This window comes from Homo sapiens, chromosome 8, assembly GCF_000001405.40.
Source record: "Homo sapiens chromosome 8, GRCh38.p14 Primary Assembly".
NCBI classification, from domain to species: domain Eukaryota; kingdom Metazoa; phylum Chordata; class Mammalia; order Primates; family Hominidae; genus Homo; species Homo sapiens.
Window position 1 is genome coordinate 139,614,483 of NC_000008.11, and position 21,757 is coordinate 139,636,239.

General features: G+C 50.7%; 1 protein-coding gene across 2 annotated transcripts in view; it reads right to left on the reverse strand.

The window, feature by feature from the left end:
- The window catches only part of KCNK9 (potassium two pore domain channel subfamily K member 9), a 102,286-nt gene that overhangs the window by 13,645 nt on the left and 66,884 nt on the right, over window positions 1-21,757 (reverse strand). Inside the window, exon 2 of one of the 2 annotated variants that reach the window (NR_104210.2) lies at window positions 3,776-4,617. Coding sequence is in view for 1 of the 2 variants with exons in the window: in NM_001282534.2 (NP_001269463.1) it covers window positions 3,776-4,617 (842 nt within the window). In the remaining variant the exon portion in view is untranslated. Of the gene's footprint in view, window positions 1-2,638; window positions 4,618-21,757 lie in introns of those variants that run through there. The other variant, NM_001282534.2, reaches the window with a different exon arrangement.

Below are 21,757 nucleotides of genomic sequence, written 5' to 3' on the forward strand. Positions count from 1 at the left end.
GTGGGAGCGCGCAGATGCTTCCAAGGGGGTTCACATGTAGAGCCAGGCAGCTCGCTGTGCTTAAGGGGCTGTTGCCAGGATTTCAAGATGAAGCAGTGCAGGTGGAAAGAACAGATCTGATACTAGCTGTAGGGACAACCAAGTATCTCAAAACCCAGAGGGGTTGGTTCAGTCCTACGTAAAAGAGTCTAACAGGCTGAAGGCCAACACAGCACTTTCCACCCAGGATGGGTGCAATGAGGATTATAGCTGGATGGTCTCTAGCAAGTGTTGCCCCCAGGGGTCTTAGAGATATTACTCTCACTTGAACTCTTTTCAACTAAGAGTGCTCAATCTTCATCTATCCACTCCAAATATAGGAGGAAGGTTGGGCGGTGGTACTGATGATCCCTAAATACCTACAAGGCATGTTGATTTCTAGGTACTGGCTGGTGGGCTCACCTTGGGTGATTCTGGTAGCACGTGGCTCTTCCTGAGCTCATTCTAACAGAAGTTGAACCCTACATCCAAGCAGCCTGCTGTGACTTCGACCACCTTGCTGAATGGGCATGGTTAACTGGGAGAAGGGTATGAAAATCACTTGGATGAAAGAAAGAAATTACCAGGTGCAAGAGGGAGGAAGAGAGACCTGGGGCTAAGAAACTAAAATTGTCCAGCAACAAGAGATCTTCAGAAGGCTGTAAATAGCAACAGAAGTAGCCAGGAACATGGTAGAGAAATCAGTGGGAAGACCTAGAATCCTCTCTCTGTGACCTCTAGATAAGTGTTCGCCTTCTCTGAACCTCAATGTCCTCGTCTGAAAACAAAGGCTGCTCAGTGAGATGACTTGGACCAAGCTTCCTCCTGGCTTTGAGGATCTGATTCTAATGCTGATTGAGTGGTAGGAGTTGGGCATCTCTGTTTAGTGCTGTTTTATTAAGAGAAGAAAGAACCCTGAACCCTTAACTTGGCCCCTGCCCTCCCCACTCTGAGACCATTTCATGCTATACCTAGATATCTCCTTGGCCAGAGACCACAGCAGGGGGAAGAGATGGACCATCTGAGCAAAAAATGAACATCACCAAGCAAAACCAAGATTTGCCTCCATCCCCTAAATACTGACCATAAACAAGGATGTTTAACTTTGAAAGACTCAGTGACCATCCTTCAAAGGGCTAAGCTGGTAGCAAAGAGAAGACATAGGAGGGAAATAGAGCCAAGATAAATTACAAGTTGCCTCAGATACTTATGTCAGTGGTCATGTGAGGAGAAAAGACTTCATCCTATAATCCTTAATCCTGTAGAAGAGAGAATGTTTTCTATAGTTCCTGGGAATAGAGAAGCTCTGTTACCTGAGGCATTCAAGCAGAAGTATGGCTCCTATATGACCAAATTGACACAGATAGTGTAGTGGAGAAACCAGCTCTGTATGCAGGGTGGTCTCAGCGTCCCTTTAATTTGCTCCAAGGGCCTGCTGCATGCCCCCAGTGGGGAAAAAGGCAGGCGCCCTCCTCCGAGGGCTGAGTTAGGACATGGTGGTGTGAAGTCAGCTCCTTGGACTCTCCTGGGCTCCAGACTGAGACACCTGTCTCAGTTCTGTCAACAGCCAGCCTGTGACACTGAGCAAATCACCCTCTCAGTGCCTTGGTGTCGTCATAGATCAGATCACACCCCCCAACCATTTGAAGGCACCTCTTACAAAGGTTTTCATGAGAACCCCACATTTATTCCAGGCACACTCTTCTGAAGCATAAAGCATTCTGCAAATGCATTAGGGCTTTTATACCTCTGACCCCCTAGAGTCAACAATCTCATCCAAGAGGAAAAAAAAAATTGAACTGCTGCTATTCTCTGGACAGATTTTAGAGCCCCAAGTAGGGCCTCCCATTAAACAAAATCTTAAAACAAGTGAATCAATAAAGACCTTGAAGGTTGAGAACTGTCAACTTTGGCCTAGAGAATCTGAGGTTCGCAGACTCCTTCGAAGGCCCTGTGTCCTGGACGAAGGGGAAATTTCAACATGGGATGTAGCATTAAAGTACATGCACAGCCTTTTCAGAGGAGTCTTGAATGCTCCAGTGTTTCAGCCCATTGGCCCAAATGCTTGGGACTGGTGGCATTCAGGTGTTGTCTCCTTTAAGAAATCCTGTAGGTCTACTCTTTCTAGGGAGCAAAGCCTCCTTTCTGGGAGATCTCGTTGGGGCCTTGAGACAGGCCAGTAAACCGTGTTCCTTCTGAGTATAGCCAAGGTCCATTTCCATGCAAGAGCCATGAACTTCATTTACAAAAGAGGAATGGGAGGATGGATGAATGGGTGATTTTTAGAAAATGGCAGGGATGGTAATGAGGGAAATTAAAGTCCCCTCAGTGAATCTGGAGGTCAAACTGTCCTTTAAGCCTGTTACTGTAAGAGCCTCCACTGTGCCATATTCTACAGCCTGAACTACCCCACCACCTCCCCCAAGAGGATAGCAGGTCTTCCCTTTGGGGTCATCCCCTATTGAGAGTAGGGAGGAATTTCTACACTACTCAGACAAAATTTTCCCCTGAGATTGGCAAGTTCCCAGTAGGCCAAGACATAGCTCCTTGCCTCTAAACTCTTCCTGAGACCAATGTGAACTTTACCCTATTTACAAATCAAATGCAATTAGAGACGATATTTCTTGAAATAGATATGTATTTTTAATGAGGAATGCCCTGTCAATTTTCATGAGGAAAAGGAACCACAGCCACATACTAATACCCATTCTCACCCAAGCATTCCAACACTATAATTCTTATTTATGCAGGGTAGGTGCTGCACAAAATCATCAATAAGAGGGAAATAGATACTCTGGGGTTCCAACAATTTTCCCGTTTCCCCTGACAATTCCAGTTGCATGGTAAATTGTTGGAACTGGAGGTGACAAAATTAAAAATGTCTTTTATAAGTTAATGTTATTGGCTTTGGATTATTCCATTTCTAGTTTTTTTGTTGATAGCGCATACCAGTTTAACAAAGTGCATGCTTTTTAAAAAATGTCTGAACTGGCAAGCTAAGATGGTTTGGGTCGTCTTGCCCACCCGCCCCTAAAAAACATTAATATAATTTAGAACCTAGCATTTAGAAAATATGGCCATGACACATCAGGGATAAGAACTGCTTAATGAAACATGCTTGATTTGGCAAAATACGATAAATCAAAAACCTTGTGGGTTTTGTCTTCCCGTTTTGTTTGGAAGCAGCCAAAAGCAGGCTATGATGTGTGATGGGAAAGAAAACGGAATACCTAATACTTCCCGTTTTGTCACGACACACGTGCACACAGAAGCACACACACAACACACACACAGTCACTCAGTCCTTAGGAAAAGAGAAAGGAGTTAGGTCAGAGACACCACTAAGGGTAGGCGATTGAAGGCTGAGCGTGATGTGCAGCTTTGGGGTGGGTATCCTCTCAGCTCTGTCTCCGTGGTCTTGGTCTCACATCTGTCCCGGGAAAACCACTGCAGAGATGATGGGGTGGGTGGGGTGAGAAATGTAAGGCATAGTCTGCTGGGAAGGAAGGAGGAGATCCATGCTTCATGCTCAGATGTGAGTTTCAGAGGAGGATGGGCCTGTATTTCCCTTTGGCCTGCTCTGTCTGGCTGGAAAGGTGGGGGAAAATGAGACCAAGAGACCAAGAAAGGAGGAAGGAGAGAAAGTAATAATGATGACAATAATAATAATAAATAAATAAGAAAAGACGAGTTGGACCAATGGAAATTAACACCAACTATGACAAATGACTTTTCTGTCCCATTTCCCTCCCCACACCTAAACGGACTTCCGGCGTTTCATCAGCCTCTGGTGGTCGGTAAAGCTGTGTAACCCAGGAGAGATGGAGCTAATAGGCGATGGGAAGAGGCTGTTTTTTAATGTGCTTGGTGAGATCTCCTCGATCTTGTAAGAGATGGAGTGGAAGTAGTGGGGGGCAAGCTTGGCGCTGAAGGAGTTCTGCGGTGCCACCGAGCGGCCGCCATAGTCCTGCGAGCGGTAGCAGGTGCAGGAGCACACAGACTGCAGGTCCGGGACGTCCGCCTTGTACCTGGGCCGGCTGGGCCGCGGCTCCTCAGGGATGTGAATGACCATGCTGTTGCGGTTTCCGGCGAGGGATGCCCTCTCTTCAGCATCCCGCCGCTCATCCTCACTGTTCATGGTCAAGAACCTGAGGACGACCAGGTTGAGGAAGGCCCCGATGACCGTCAGCCCCACCAGGATATACATAAAGCTAAAGGCCACGTAGAGCGGCTTCTTCTGCAGGGCACCCTTGGTCTGCAGGGCCACGTAGTCCCCGAACCCAATGGTAGTCAACGTGATGAAGCAGTAGTAGTAGGCGTGGAAGAAGCTCCACTCCTCACACTGGGAGAAGGCGGCCGCCCCGATGCACAGCGTCCCCATGCAGGAGAAGAAGCCCACAGTCACCATGTTCTCCATAGACACGTCAGTGTTGCGCATGCCACAGCACTTCTTAATGCGCTTCAGCAGGTAGCGCACGAAGGTGTTCATGCGCTCGCCCAGGCTCTGGAACATGACCAGTGTCAGCGGGATGCCCAGCACGGCGTAGAACATGCAGAAGGCCTTGCCCGCATCGGTGCCAGGTGCAGCGTGCCCATAACCTGTGGGAAGGGGATGAGAAGAACAGAGAGAGCAAGTGAGGAGGGGTCTAGAGGTTGGGGGAAGGGAGGGTCGACTTGGTGCAGTGCAGTGCAATGCAGAGGGACCTGGTACTGGGGGAATTTCCTCTGCAGGGTAGAGGGGCGTGGCCATATATTGGAGGGAGGAGAACAAAGGAGAGCCACTTTCTCAGAAGTCACATGAGGTTAGGGGATGGCAGGGGGGTAGGAACATTTCAGTAGGGAGGGAGTTGGGATGTGCTGGGATGGAAGGGAAGAGAAAAAGAAGAACCAATGTCACTTGCACTATGCCACTGAGAGGGGATGGAGGAACATTCGAATGCCATCTTAGAGCCACATAAAGGCTTTAAAAAGAAAAAAGCAGATTCACTACTAAGAGAACTCCAAAAGTACCAAGCCCAAGGGAGAAACCTCTCTATGTCCACTATGGATTGACATGAAGAGTGGATTTTCAAAGAATGATACCTGCCATGGGCCAGGCACAGTGCTGAATCCTCTTACATACATCACCTAATTCTAGCCTCTAAACAACCATAATGATTCCAACCCCACTGACAAGAAAACTGAGTTAGCAGGGTAGCTTGATTTCTTCAGAGTTGGGATTTCAGCCCAGAGTTTTCAACTGCCAAGAATGAGGCTCAAAAGCAGAGACTTTGAATCAAGAGAGGCAATTGTAGAGTGAGATGTAAATGCCACAAATGCATACTTTTAAAAATGTTTTGTTCGCTGCTGTATTCCCCCATACCTAGAAAGTAAAATATTTATTTAATAAAGGAATGAATAAATTTGCACCACTCTGTGAATGGAGCCTGGATAGAAATGAGGAAACAACCCTTAAAGACCTTATGTGTGTAAGCACTTTTGAAATTCTTGATGCAACTTCATTGCGTGGTTGCTGCAGGGAATCCAAGTCAAGACTGTATTTCCTCACATTCGAAATGAAGGCAATGATGTTGAATAGGTGAAGTCAGCTGCAGGGTCACCCAAGCTGGTCAGTGACAATGTCAGAGCCAGGATGGGATCTTCCCAATATGGCAGAAGGAACAAGAGACTCAGTAGGTTCAAACTGTGGGACTAACACTACCCAGAATAAAAACCTGGATCATGGACAGTGTTTTTTTGGACAGAAATTTTGAAGGATGTACCTGGTCTTCCAACATCTAAAATCCTGCCCATCAAGATAGATTTCCCTGATGGGACCCTGTCACATGTTCATGGTCACTTAGCTTGCTGCTTTACCTTGGGTTCCATAAGTTTTTTCAAACCCATGTGTCTTTATCTGTTACATGGCATAATTGTTCTTAGGTGGCGTTGTATGGATCCGCCGAGATCAGACAGCTCCGAGCCAAGAGTCTGATACACAGTAGGGACCTACCAGACCCCAGGATCCTCTGCCGCTCCTTCCTGCATGAAGCTGCCTCTGACGGCTCTAGCTCACACTTCTCCATCAGGGCTTCATTGCCTGTGGCTCAGTCTGTCTGTCTCCGGTGGTGTGAATATGTGCCATAACCTACCTACCCCCATGGGCCAAACTCTCACTTGAAAAATGACATCACATGTTTGCCTCCAGAAGGCCTTCCCCCCATCCTCTCTGGCCCTCAATCCCAGCTAGCGCTGAGCTCTGACACCCCTCTGAAACCCCTTAGTCCTTATGAAAGAAGAGATGATATGACAAAGTTAGGCCAGAAAGGACAGGGTGGGGAAACAGAGAAGCTGAAATAATAGATATATCAATTGAAATTATCCAATCTGAAGAGCAGAGAGGAATAAAGAAGATTGAAAATAAAGCCTGGGGGGAGCTGTAGGGCAATATCAAAAGGTGTCCCAGAAGGAAAGAGAATCAGACAAAAAGAAGAAATAATGGCCAAAAGTAGCCAAATTTAGGTTGGGTGCAGTGCTTCACACCTGTAATCCCAGCACTTTGGGAGGCCAAGGCAGATGGATCACTTGAGGCCAGGAGTTTGAGACCAGCCTGGCCAACATGGTGAAACCCCATCTCTACTAATTTTGTAAAAATACAAAAATTAGCCAGGTGTGGTGGCACACACCTGTAGCCCTAACTACACAGGAGGCTGAGGCAGGAGAATCACTTGAACCCAGGTGGTGGAGGTTGCAATGAGCCATGATTGTGCCACTGCACTCCAACCTGGGTGACAGAGCGAGACTCCATCTCAAAAAAAAAAAAAAAATAGCCAAATTTGATGAAAGACACAAACTTATAGATTCAAGAAATTCAGTGAACCCCAGGCAGGACAAATACAAAGAAAACCACACGCCAGAGTCAAGCTGCTTAAAGTCAGAGAAGATAATGAAAGTAGCCAGAGAGAAATAATATACCACATACAGGGGAACAATAATATAATATTGCTTACATCTAAACATAAGCAACAGAGGCCAGGAAGCAGTGGAAGCACGGCTGTAAAGAACTAAGACTGCTCACTGAAAATTCCATATCCAGAGAAATTATCCTTCAAGAAAGGCAAAACAAAGACATTTTCAAATGAAGTAAAACTATAAGAGAGTTCATTACCAGCATATCTACACAATAAGATTACTGAAGGCTGCTCTGTCTGGGGAGAAGGACACCATATGGAAACTTAAGTCTTCAGGAAAGAAGGCACATCTTGGCAAACAAGTAGGGTAAATATAAAAGATGCAGGGGTGGGAATCCTACTATATCTCCATATAGCTCACCTGTAGAGCTGATACAAAAAAAGCCAGCTGGAATGCTGGAGAATAACAGGAGGTTGTTGGAAACTTCTTATTAAGTGGTAATGTTCCACATGTGATATATTTACTGGAAGAAATCACCATGGCATTTTCTGGGTCAAAAACTGCATACCAGGTGCCAGGGTCCCCCACCCTGACTTCTGTTCCTGCTAGTAAAAATAAGCAGTTTGCCTTCACGGGGCTTAGACAGCAGTACACTGGTATGTCCTGTCTCAGGCTTATGTCAATTCTCCTGCCGTCTTACTACAGCATGAAAGAACTTGATCATTGACACACCATAGTGTTTCTCACTGGTCCACTGCATCGAGGACATCCCTTGGTAAGACACGTGCATGAGAGAGTATGGGAGATGAACAGCGCTGAGGTTCAGGGGTCTTCCCCATTAACACATTTCCTGTGGTCCCAGTGGTCTGGGGAACAGGACCATTCCCTCTCAAGTGAGAGACAAGTTTCGGGACTCCCAAGGCCTTCTAGGAAAAAGAAGGTGGTACAGGGTATCCTCCACTGTCCTATTTAGGCGTTCCCAGCCACACCCTGCTCTCTACCCTGGGAGCTACATCAAGGGTCCCTTTGCCCTCTGGTTTCCAGTTGGGTCCATCCAATGGACAGCCCCAGTAGATCAGAGGAAGGGAAGAGGAGGGCGACTTCGGCAACTAGCCGCATCTGTCAGCGGGCTTACAGCAGCTACTCTCTACAAGTTCCAGGAACTGCACCCTTGGCATGTTAATAGCTCTCCACTGGTGCTCCACATACCCCTCATTGCTTCCCCCCAAACCTGCCTACGTGTTCGAGAAGAATTTATAAATAGCCCATTTATTAATCATTCAGTGTGAGAGTGCTATTTCCTGCAGAGACCCTGTTACACTATCTGTTTTCCCCTGGTCTGCTTAACAAATGTGCTTATGATAGAACACTGCAGGTACTGTGTACAAACAGGCCTGCGAATATTAAGTCCACATGTCAGATGTTCCCAAATACCTGTACAGAACACACATACATGGCATCTATGAAGACTTCAGAGTACACACAGTGTACACTTGGAACCTAATGTGTAGAATAACGGCACATGTGACATAGTAGCACACTATATACAGATAGATTAGACCAAGAGGCACATATAACTACAGCGCACCCATATTCACCAGCAAATATTGTCTATGCAGTGTGTGCGCCTGTAGAACACACATGACACAGGCTGTGTATGTGCCACACCTATGTATATGCTGCAGACTGCACGTTTTAGTAGTACACACCATGTCTACAGATTGTATGTAGAAGATACAATAAAGAACATAGAAAATGCATGTATGCTGGACACGTGACACAAGATGGCCTCTAAGCTCTTCCCAAGAGGAGAATGAGGTACAAATCTAATACATTCCCCCAGCACCTGTGTGACAGCTCAAGTCCTGAGAAACCATTTTTTTCCCATCTGCAAATGAACATATCCCAGCATCACCCGCCCAGGGGTCAGAAGATATATTCATTCATCTACTCATACATTACCCATTCAGATATCTCCATTGACTGTGCCCTGGGACCTGCTCTTGGCACAGGGGATTCCACAAACACTTCTTTCCTGGAAATCTCCCAAGGGGCTCCAGCCAGCCTGTACCAGGAGCCCTGCCCAGTGCCCAACACGAGCAGGTGCGGATAGAGGCTGGGGCATGGATGTGGAAAGGCCACAGGTGACCCCTAGGCTGTCTGTTCCTGGTTACCTCCTACCCCACCTGTGAGCTCAGGAACCACACATGCCCAGGTGGATTTTCCCTCTAGGACTCCAGGCTCCTACAATACCCTACCGCCCCCTCCCCCTACCCTCCAGGCACTACAGGGTGGTGACCTTCTCCATCTCTGAGGACCACAGAGGTGGCAGAATCTCAGAAGTCCCACCCACCACTGGCCACGCTTCCCTCATCATAAAGGGGTCACTTATCCCTTTGGCAATGAGACTTCTGAAATGGATCTGCACAAAATTCAGGAGGGACACACAGGGCACTAAAGGTAGAGATAATGAAACCAGGACTCCCAGAGGGGCGCCTCCGACTGCGGGTGAGATCTAGCCAAGCAGCCTCAGTCACTCGAACCACTTCACAGACGTGTAAGATGAGGCTGCAGGAGGGTTGCCAACCCACAACCGCCCCGCAAGAGGCCACATCATCCTTACCTAACCCGATGCCTGGCACCCCCTACAGGCACCCAGCCAACAGCAGGGCCCTAAGCCAGAGCCCCACCAACTGAGGAATGCAAAGACCACACACAGGGTACAAAGCCCCTGCACACAAGGGACGCAGCCAGCCCACGCTGCTCATCTCCAGAGCTTCACCGCCTGTTTTGCTGACATCTAGGGGGATGCTGAGTTAGACACGCCTGCCTTTGGGACCTGGTACCGGTCCAGATGGTCACACGGAGTCAGGCCTCTGGGTGTGAGGTTAACCATAGTGGTGCTGGTGACAGACAGCACTGACAGCCTGAAATTTGGTTTCCAGCACTGCTCACACAGCAGCAGCATCCCCAACACCATCCTTCCCAAGATTCCAGGATGCCGGCATGTTCAGGGACCCTGGAGGGAGCTTACAGTCGGTTCCAGTTGAGTGGCTGTCCCAGCTTTCTCAGCCCGGCTGGCCCCTGCATCACTCAGTGCTTTAGGCTCCAGGGTCCTGCTCTGCCCACCCACCTGCCCTCCCCTGGCCTGCTCAGCTTTGCCAACAGGTGGTAGTGCCCAGGACCAGGCAGGGTGGGTAGATGTGAGTGGTGAAGGAGATCCAGGAAAACCCCCAGCTCAGCCCAGCCCCATGTCCCAGCACATGGAACCAACCCCTCGAGTGGCAGCCCCACCCAGGGGTCTGGAGCATCCTAGGTCACCTGCTAAGTGAAGCCAGCCCTAGAAGAGAACCTCCAGTTCACCCGGCCCACCTCCACAGTCAGAGGCAACTGACACCCGGGGGCCGGTGATGCCCAACTCGACAGGGCAGGCCGGTGACGGGGTTCCTGCCCTACAGATCTGGAAAGGGGACAGTCATTGTAAAAATGTCAAAGCCCACTTGGAAAAGCTGACTCTGTCCTGGGCACTGTGACTCCTGAGCAGACTCTGCGCTGTGCACTATGACTCCTGAGCACCCTGGGAGGACCCCTCTACTTCCTCATCTGTGAAATGGGGCAGATGATGTGCATCAGAGCACAATGAGAATCAGCCCCCTCACCTGGCCCCTCCCAGAACTGGCCAAATTCATGGGTCCCCTCACCGAGAGCTGGGCCATGCAGCCTCTGAGCCGAGCCCCACCTCAGGCTGGCGTGCAGCCCTTGGGGGTCAGACCTTCCAGCCCCCAAGTGCCCATGTGGATCTGTAGCCAAGGACGTCTGGGCCCAAGGGAACTGACAGCCTGCCTGCTTCCACAGGGCCTTCTTAGCCGGTTACTAGGTGCCTCTCCCAGCCCCGGACCCTGGTGGAAGGCTGGGGGCTCCCAGGACAGCACCCACAGGCTGTACTCCTCACCTATCCAGACCCTGACTGGCCCTGCTGGGTAGTCACAGCCTGGGTCACCTTGGGCCAGACCGTGAGCTCCCGAGGAGAGCAGAGCCCACTCCTGACTCAGCTGTGCAGATCCCAGAGCCCAGCATGGAGGAGAAGGCAGCACATGGTATCTCCTTGCTGTGCAAGTGACTTCCATCTTCCCAGGCCTGCCTGGAAATCCCAGCCAATCCCTAAGCCCAGGGCCCAAGGTGGCTGGGGGCAGCTTTGCCCAAGACACAGCATCACCCAGCCTGATTTTCATGGCCTCTTTAATATACTTAGTGGGTCTCTTTGATCTGTCCTGGGAGAGGCTTTGCAGAGAAGCAGCCTTCATCTCTCTGCTGCAGCTGGCTAACAAAACAGGAAAAAAAAAAAAAAAATGAATAGGCTCCATCTTCCCAGAGGGGAGAGAGGCAGAGGACAAGGAAAATAAAACTAATCATTTCTATTGGGTCTGGAGCTCCCCGAAAAACCAGCTGTGGCTAGAAGGCAGCACTCACTTCAAGACACCTGCCACTCCCCAGTGGCTCCTGCAAGATTTCCCAGAAGTCATGGCAGCCACCAGGTACCAGAAGCTTCCCAGCTTCTCCTGTTCTGAACAGCATTATTTCACTTAAAGATACTCTAAGCACATGGGACATAGTAGTGCAAGATGCATACTATATACACGTAGGTTAGACCATAAGAGGCACCTGTTCTGAGCTCCATATTTTAATTAAAGACACTCAAAGTATCCAGTGGGCTGTCCCCACTGGAAAAAGGCAAATAGGGCAGCCTGGGCCAGGTGGACTGCAGACCAGCCTCGCTCCTGCACTCCAGCGCTCAAGAGCTGTCTGTGGCTCCCCATGTCCCCCCTGGCAATCTAGGTACATCCACACCTGACCATGAGTGACCTTCACAGACTTAAAGGGTAAAACCTCTGCCCTCCACTGTGGAGCTTATTCAGGGGAGAGGTAGACAGAGCAGGGCCTTTACCTCCTGCCTCTGCAGCATTACTACCCCCATTCCTTCCACTTGGGAATGCCCAGGCCATTACCCCGCTTACCTGAGCCCTTGACCAGAAGCCATCAAGCTGAGCTTTGAATTCCCACTGCAGTGGGGTGGAGTGGAGGAGCTCAGCCCCTGGTGTCAGGCCAGTCCAGGTTTGAGCCCTGACCGTGCCCTCGGAGGGACTGTGGATGGTCACCTCCCTCCCTGGGCCTCTTTCTCTTCTGTCACTGCAACCCCAGTCTCCCAGGGAGCCTGGCTATTCCAGGAGCTGGAGCGGCTGTCATGCAGGTGAGGGGTACCCATGGCTGTCTCCCCCAGCCCACAGTTCCCTGGGACAGGCTGCCCAGCACCGGAAGGAGATGGCCATACAAGTATTTAGGCACTGAGAAATTTCCTGCTGGAAGAGAATGAAATATTTATAAAGGACATGCAAAGTTTGTGCCGGTAAGAATTAAAACAGCCACAAATTCCATTAAAGAATGACTCAGGGTGGCTTGGAGGAGGAGCAGGCTGGAGAAGAGAGCTGCCCTTGGGCCTCAGGCTTCCCACCTGGCTCCCACGGAAGCCTGCGGCAAGCATCCCACTCATCCTCCCATGAGCTTCGGCCCCGCTCAGGCCCCGGAATGAACTCGGCATGATTTAAACCCAGGCGTCTGCAAACACCAAAAGCAAAGTGATGCATGGGTCGCGCGTAGGGTGGGCAGGAATCAGTGGGTCCCAAAGTCTGGGTCTGGTTCCATCTCCTGCTTACTATGACCTTGGGCAAGACACCTTAGATCCTCTAAGCGTTAACCTTCCCTTCTGGCAAGGGCAATATGGAATGAAGCAGCCTCCTCCAGTGGCACAGCACTTTACACTTGACAATGCTTTTCCCAACTCATTCTCTCATGGATAAGGGGTATCAGTGGTGGTGTGTCAAGTCCTCCTCTTGCAATATAACACAACCCCTATTTCTACTGGGCACCACACACAGGCTTGGTCTCCTGTTCAATCCAAGAAGGGAACAGTACTTTGTAGGCACTCTGATGGTTTCAGCAAAAGCCTCAGGGTTTGGGGCTTGACTGGTGACTCAAAGGCTTCGGCTTTTTCCTGCCAGACTGGAGGGTGCCAGGGGGTGAGGTCTGGAGCTCCTGCAGTCATTTCACTATCAGGAGGATGAACTCAGCCACAGAAGATAACATCCCGACCCCGATCTCAGAGATGGGAAGCTGTACAGAGATGTTTCACCCTGCCTCTAAGCCTGTCCTACCCGGAGTGAGCCCAGCTCACAGACAGTTCATTCTGTTCCCCTGTAAATATGTTGGCTTTAGCCAGCGTTTCACTGTAAGTGATTAACACCCAACCTGGAGTATACATCCTAATACCCTAGCCAGACTACAAATAACCCACAACAGTTTTGTCAACAAAGCACTTTGCAATTCACACTCCCCTGTGTCTCTTGTGGTTTCTCTTAGAAGCTACCTCTGATATGTATGTCCTGGGGAGAGGGGCTGGAAGGTAACAGGGCTGTGAGCAGGGAATGGCCAGCTGGCAGGCCAGGGCCTCTCAAAGAGCAGCTGCTCCCATCCTGGCCCCAGGACGGTGGGCCAGGGTGACTCAATTCTGAGTTTTAAAGAGAAGCCGAAAATATGGATTTTTAAAATGTGGTATCTAATTAGTGTCCAATTAAACATTTGAAAACATGGCACAGGCCAAACAAAATAAGATGAAACAGACCATCTGTCTCAAACGGAGGCCACACATGCTCCAGAAATGGTGAAGAAGGAAGAGCGAGAACAGAAGAGAGCTGGGGTTGTAGGGGAGGAGGGCGGCAGGAGAGTGAGGCGAGTGGGGGTCAGTGAGACCCACAACATACACGGCTCTCCATCTCCTTTGCCTTTCCTCCCTCATGGTGAGGCCACCAGGGACAAGAATCATCAGTTGGCTCCATCCATTTCACAGATGCACAAACAAAGGCAACATAGAAGCACCTCCAGCACTGGGCTGAGTTCAGCCCTGCCCTGCACAGCGTGCCGAGGAACCCCATACCCTGGCAAACACGGTCGTTCTGGGTAATCTAAGGCCCCTTCCCACAATCGCCATGGAGAACTTGAGCCCCAGGCCCTGGCCCCTTCCACAGATGGGAACACTGAGGCCCTTGTTCATGCCGACCAGGCAGGGCATGGCCCCCTCGTCTTCCACATTGACCCACGCTCCAGGATTCCAAGGCCCCAGCCCTGAGCTGCCCTCAGAGCCCTGGCAACTGGCTTATTCTCAGGCTTGGCACCAAATCTTGGCAGATTTGGTGTTTTATTTAATGAAAGCAATTTCCTCATATGATTTATTATTAATTTCCAAAAAGAACTTCAGTTGCCTTTTGATTACCCTTCATTTGATGCCTTAAGGGGGGAAATGGACTAAATATATAAAATATATTTCTAAAACATATGAACTTGCAAAGCACAAATTTCCAACAACATTCACGAAGGCCTTTCTCCTCTTCTGCTCCATGTAGGGCCTTGAGTGAGGCCCCCTCAGGAGAGCCCTAGGGCCCCTTCCTGAGGAAGGCCAGCCTCAGGGAGCCCCGTTGCCTGGCCCAGGGTTGCACTGGGTGGACATCTCGTCCCTGGTTGACCCATGGTTATCACTGACCCAGCACCGCTTGCAGTGGCCTTGGCCAGCCTGGCTCCGACTGCAGTCGGCCACTTTCCAGCTCTGTGGCTTCACCTCCCATGGGCCCCAGTCCCTTCTCATTATGAGGACCCAGCCGAGATTAAATGAAGCGTCTTCATCCCCTTTCTATGGATTGGAAGGCTGAGCCTCGATACACATCAGCTGTCATAGTTACATGTGCTTCTCCTTTAGTCCCCACAGCGACCTCACCAGGTGGCATCAGGAAACACCCTCTGCTGGCTGGGGCCGAGATGCATGCGGGGGCGCCCCTGGGGAGGGCAGAAAGGCCTACACAGCGTGCCCCAAGATGTTCTCCACTCCTGGCTCATACCCAAACACCAAAGAAATCTGTTCTTAAAGCATTTTTAGCAACTTCACATCTAGGCGTGTCACTGAAACCTAAACAAGTATTTGTACCCATGTATTCACAGCCTAGCTTAACAGTCCAAACGTCCATCAGTGGATAGACGCCTAAACAAACGTGGTCCATGTGTACAACGGAATGTGTTCAGCCTTAAAGAGAGATGCAGTCCTGACGGGCATTACAGTGCAGATAAACCTTAGTCAGCTCAAGCTGGGCTGCCATAACAAAATATTATACCACAGCCCTGGGAAGCGTCAGCAAAAGACACTGATTTCTCCACAGTTCTGGAGCCTAGAACTCCACAATGAAAGGGGGGGAAGATGCAGTTTCTGGTGGGGGCTCTCCGGGGCTTTGAGGGGGCCACCTTCCTGCTGTGTCCCCAGATGGTGCAGAGAGAGACAGTGTCCCCATATCCCTTACTCTTCTCAGGAATCCTAAACCTGATGGATGAGGGCTTCACTCATGTGACCCCATTTAACCTCAATTACCTCTCCTAAAGGCCCCATCTCCAAATACGGTCACATTGGAAGTTAGGGCTTCAATGTGTGAATTTCGGGGGGCACAGTTCAGTCCATAACCCTGAGTGACAGAAGCCAGTCATGAAAGAACAAGTATTGTAGGAGTCCACGAACACCAGAACAGGGACACCTATGGGGACAGAAAGCAGGTTAGTGGTTGCCTAGGGGTTGCGGGGGGAGCGGGCGTGGGGGGCGGCGCGAAAGGGTAAGGGGTTTCTTTTGGGGATAAAGAAAACGGCTCGGAACTCAGTCCCAGTGGTTGTACAACATTGCACTAAATTGTACACTGAACTATACTCTTTGAAAGAGGGAATTTTGCAACGCGCATTTTACCCCAATTTTGAAAAAGCATTATTTTTAATGCTTCTAAGCTTTAAAACTCTTAAGCTGAGCCTCAGAGGATAAGGAAGTGGTGGAGGCGAGGCTTTGTGGGCGCTGGAAGGAACGGGTCTGCTCGCAGGGGCTTGCTACTGGCCTGGAAATGCTCTGCAGAGTCCTGGGCTCTGCCGCCGCCGCCGCCCCCACCTCCCCGGGGCCTCTCTCCCGGAGGATGCAGGCCTGGGCCAGCCCCTAATCCTAGAGCCACACAGCAGCAACATCCGACGCTCGCTGGTCCCACTTAGCCACCCACACCCTTCCACCCACTCCAGCCTCCAGGCACAGGCTGCAGACACAGGCCTGAGCCTGCACCATATCTGCCAATGGAAGGCCCGCGGAGTGGCTTTGGGGTGGCAGCTCGGAGAGGGTGTAGGTGAACCTCTCAGGTCCGGGGACTTGGGCCTGCCCAGAGACACAGAGGGGAAGACAGGTGCGTAGAAGGCCTTCTCCTATGAAAGGGCCACACAAGCGCACTGCACATCGTGTGTCCTGAGCAGGAGGCCGACAGCAGGGTGGGTGGAGAAGGCTGCGGTCAAGGCACACCCCCTTCTCAGTCCCCCAGAATATCAAAGGCTGGGAAACACAGAAGCCTGCAATCACACTCTTGCGAGACGCTGGAGGTCATCCATCCCCCAAGTAAGTCTGCTTTTGAAAGAGGCTCCTAGAAAGTGTTGCCAGGAAGGAGCCGAATGGTCCGCTAGGACGGAGAGCCTGTGCCTCAGGGGCTCCGCTCCCTGCAAGAGGGGCTCTGCGCAGCGCCGGCCACCGGAGAGGCAACGGCGCCCTCTGGCGGGCACTCGGGCGACTGCAGGGACACGGCCCCGGGTGCGGGGTCGGCCGCCCACGTTTTCCGGTGACTGCGTCCAGAACGCAGGAATCATCTGGGAAAAGTCGCTAATCTTTCTTTCTCATAGATGAGATGTCATGCGATGAATGTTTTCTCAGAAGCTGCCATCCATCAGTGGCCTTTCAGCATTGACAAAAGATAAATAATGGTAACAATAACGACTACCAGATACTGTGGGCTGGCGCTGGGCCGGGGACTGCGCTAAGATATTTTCCCTTCCTCAACCCACTGGTTCTGGGGAAGGGGATACCCTTTGCGGGGTCAGTGGTATTCTCTCTGTGGCACGGGTGAGAAAACGCCCCCTAGCCCTGCGCAAAGCACGTTGCCTTTGTAAGCCCCCAAGCCAGCCTGATGTGGTCTTCAGCCTCTGCACTCAGAGCCTGGCCCTGGCTGCAGGCTGGGCGCCCACACCTGGTCAGGCACTGGAGAGAAACCTGCATTTTCCTGCTGGCCGCCTCCACCCCTTTCCAGCAAAATTCTCCTCACTCCCTTCCGTTCTACTCTTTCTTCCCACCACTAAATAATTCCTCTCCCACTCCAAAAAAATTTTTAGAAATACTACAAGAAAATGTGGGGAAACAAGCCTAAATTTAAAAAACAAAGTACAGAGGGAAAAATATATATAAAATGTGGCTGACTTTTGAAAAGTCTATGGTAGAAGAACTGAAAATCAAGCTAGGTCCTAATACCCTCTGTAAGTAATAATTGATATATTTTGTTTAAAAAAAAGTGAAATCAAATCAAACTTTAATTCCTGTTTTGTTTCTGCTGGATTCTCATGTAGGGCTAATTCACCTTGCAGGGTCTGAGAGGGAACAGGCAGAGTTCACCCTGGAAGGATCTATGGGTCAGAAGAGCAAGAGCCTTGAATGCCGAGTTACTGGGAGCTGTAAGTTCCGGTCAAACCAGACCAGATGAGAACCATAAAACCCGATGCCTCTTGGGAGGTTTGACAGTGGAAATGAAGGTAAGACATGTTGCATGTGTGACTTCTAAAGCATTGCTTCCTAATAATGGGATCACCTGGGATTTGCCGCAACGCCCATTCTGCATGGGAGGTAGGGGGCTGGGGCCTCTGCATTTCTAGCAAGTGCCTCATTGACACGAGTCACCACAGACCCCACATCATGCAAAAAAAGGGCCTCAAAAAAGCAGGAGCAGGCAAGATCTGTGGGGTGCCCCAGGCCTTGTTCACAGCATGTTTTCACTGTTAACACTGAACTCAGTGCACACTGATGACGGAGTCAGCCCACGCTGGAGTCTGATGGCAGCAAACTGGCTTCCACCAGGGCCTCCCGCGTGGAAGGATGCTCATTTTCTCAGGAAGCAACAGAAGCAGGTGGGTTCTAGCAGAGACAGACAGTGTCTACCCACATATGTGACCTCCTCCTGCTCCTGGGCACACAGCTGGGCCACAGAGTCCCTCGCAAGTAGACATGGCCATGTGACTCAGTGCTGGCCAGCAGGGTTCCAGGCCTGGCCCACTAAAACCTGCCGTATGATTTTCTCTCTCTGACCTTCTGTTTCTGTCTCTGCCTCTGTTTCTCTCTCCCTGCTCCCATTCCCCCCGCTCCCTCCCTAAAGATAGAAGCCTCAGAACCTAAGGTGGGATGGTGCCTCCAGCTGTTAGGAGCCTGGGTTCTGAGTGACCAGCTAGAGCAGAGCCCCTGCCGAGAAACAGTGGCTGTGATGCAAGAGAAAAAGTAACCCGTGATGCATGAAGCCAATGGCATTTGGGGGTACAGCTGCTATGCACCTAGCTCATAACATGTACTTAAGATGATTCTGTACAAGCACAGAAGTTGAACCTGGAGAGCAAAGACGTACAGACAGGCCCACCCCGCTTATTGTTCAACAACATGCGAGAAGAACCCCTCGGTTTGGTGCAGTCACGTCCATGGAACAGGTGAGAAAACGAGGGCTCAGGGACACGAGTAGCAGTGGGGCGATCTGGCAGGGTGCAGCCTGCCGTGTGACGCTGACAGGCCATGTGCACATAGACACAGGTACATACACACAGGCACTCAAACACACACATGTATACAGAAACATGGACACGCTCACATACACGAATATACACATGACATGCTTACATACATACAGATATGCTCACACACACATCTGGCCTGAGGCATGTAGCTAAGGTATAAGAGAAGCAAGATTAACCTGAAGATTGAAAGCCCTCCTCACTCCTTATCTAACTATAGTAAACATGCAATAAATGTGAATGCTTGTAAAAGGCCTAGAATGCTGCCTGGCACATAGTCACTCAGTATCCTTGTTGGCCAAACGATGGCAATCATGAGGACCTCCTGGAGCTGTGAGGAACAAATGATTTCAGCCAAGTCCCTTGCCCAAGGACACACGACTAATAGGTGGCAGTCTTGGATTGCTGCACAACTACGGTGCTGACCTCCTTCCGAAAATGCTGCAGGCACGCATGCACACACACTCAGACACACGTATACGCTCAACAGGCACACTCAGACATGTACATACGCAGCCCAGAGGCCCGGCTCTCCCAGGCCCTCCCTTACATAACAGCAACCTGAGGTGTCTCCAAGTCTGCAGAGCAGAGTGGAAAAACCCAGGCTGCGCGAGGCTCACCAGCTCAGCCCAGCTGCTCTCGGTCTGTGCAGCCTCAGTACCTTGTGTCCTGGTCTCCCATCCTAGACAACCAACACCACACAGGGCCTTCCCCCGAGGCCTGCTGCGAGCGTGAAGACGACGACACACAAAGCAAGGGGAATGGCCTCCCTAAAGGCGGGGGCCTCTCCCTGGAGCCTGCAGCCTTTCAATCTGCCCTTTGGTTCCCCAGAAGCCCTGTAACTATTCGCATCGAGCCTGTCCCAAGCATCCACTTATTGTTTCTTCTGCTCTCCGCCCCAGGGCATTTGTGCCTGCCGCATACAGGCCTTATATATACCAGCAGTCCTCCTGGCATACCACACCTCGCCTGCTGGTTCACTCCCATGTCCCTCAACCCAGGGCTGGGACAGCTTAGCACGGTGGACTCATGGGCCTGAGTCAAGGAGCCCCTACTACTTGGTTTCCTTAGGCTGTTGGGTCTCAAGTTTAAATGGCTTCAGGGACCAGGTAAGTGCCACTCATGGGGAAGGTGATTCCCTGATGAAGAGGAGATCCTGTGCCCACCTAAGGGGGCAGCCAACAAGCAGCTCCAGTTACTGGCTTGAGGGAATATGGCTCAGGGAGGCCTAACCTACCCCTCATGGGAAAGGCAGGCATCCAGATGCACCTGTGGGTGGGCCATGGTGCCCCACAGCCTCCCTAGCCTCTTGTCTGCCCTCCCAATCCACCTTTCCTGGAGCCCCCACTGCCCTCAATCCGCAGGTCCACTGGTGCTGGCCCTGCAGGATGGCACCATCCTGAGATGCCCCCAAGCGCTCACCTCTTTTCAGGAGCCCCTTTTATGGAAGCTGCCTGGATTCTCCATGAGGGCAGGGCCAGCTCTGCCCTGCTGGGATGGACTGTCCTGCCCAGAGCAGCAGGAGAGCCTTGAGGATGGCTCAGACCCCAATTTGTCTCCAGGTCCCCAGGGCCAGGCCTGGCACTTAGTAGGTAACCGTTCCCCAAACAGCTAGACATGGGAGGCTCGCACGGGTGCCTCCTCCCGAGGTCATTTACCCTTGATTGAAACTGAGGGGAAGGGGAATCCTTGGCTTGAGGGGAGCAGGAGGAAGACAACAGCCATCAGCCGAGGCCTGCCCTGAGAGCCTCCGTGAGGGGACAAGGCCCCTCCTTGGGTGTTTTACAAAGAGCTTCTGGGACTTCATCTGAAGGGTGTTGCCTGGGTGATGAGCGGGCGGGGGCAGCCACCTCCACAGCTGTGGTGCGAGGCGTCTAGGGCCAGCATCAGTGGATTCTCACAGATCACCATCTGGGTCGTTCCCCTGCTGCATGAGGACCCCTGAAGGGTAAGGTGAGCAGCCAGCCGGGAGCAGGAGCAGGCAGTCCTGTCAGAGAACATTCTAGAGCCTGTTTTACTGCCATGCATAGCTCCGCTGCCTGGTACATAGTAGCTCCACATCAAAAATTGTTTAAACAAATAAATGAGCAAACAGAAGAGCACAACCAATGTTAGGGTGCCAGGCACTGTTCTAAACAGCAGAGTAACTGTAGGAGGTTCAGGTACTATCCCGTATCATCAACAAGAAAACGGAGGCCCGAGTGTCTGCGTTGCTAGGGCAGAGTCAGATTTTCTACATGTGACATAGCAGCGTTGCTCACTGTCCCCTGAGGAGAGCCTAGCCCTGCCCCAAAGGGCCAGCGGAGGGGACCAGGGCCGGAAGGAGGACAGGGACACTTTTATGGTCATAATTACTCTGAAATAACAGGGAAGACCCGGGTCCTGGTGAGCCCACCTCATGTATCAGCTATTTGACCTTGGGCAAGTCACCTAACCTTGCAGAGAGTGAGAGACCTAAACACAAAACCAGAAAAGAAATGGAAAAAGCCTGCTGCTATAAGCCTGATTAATTTATCTCCTGGACTCCCAGCCACCTGTCTTTATTTTCTACTTTTTAGATTTTTCTATTTTGTAATTTGCTGATCATAGGAATAATACTTGCTCACTGAAGAGAATCACAAAAGAAAGCTAAAGAAGCAGGGGAAAAAAAATCACCCACAACCCCCCCACTCAGGAGGCAGCCTGGAAGCATCTTACATTCCCTGCTAGTCCTTTTCCTGAATACCTCTCCTCTATGGCTGAGAGGAGGTGGTATAGAAGTAATAACAGAGCCTGCTTTTTTTCTACTTATCAGAAAATGTGTGTGCTATCATATTGCCAATAAAAATTCTTCATAAACATTTTTAATTCCTCATAAGCTTCAAGTAGATGTGGCATGTCTTCACCTTAACAGGCTAAATAGGGAATCCGTTAGACCCCCGTTTATGTTTTAGCCAAAAGCACACTGTTTCTGGCCCCTGGAATTCTGTTCATTCCATGTACAAAGACCAGAAACCAATATGGTGGCCAGGATTTGGGCTGGGCATTGCAGGAGTTTCAAAAATGAAGACCAGCCTTTATTGGCCCAGCACCAATGATATTCTTCTTCTCATGTCATGCCCAACTGCTAGAGATGATGGCTGTCATTCTCCTGGATGAAGGA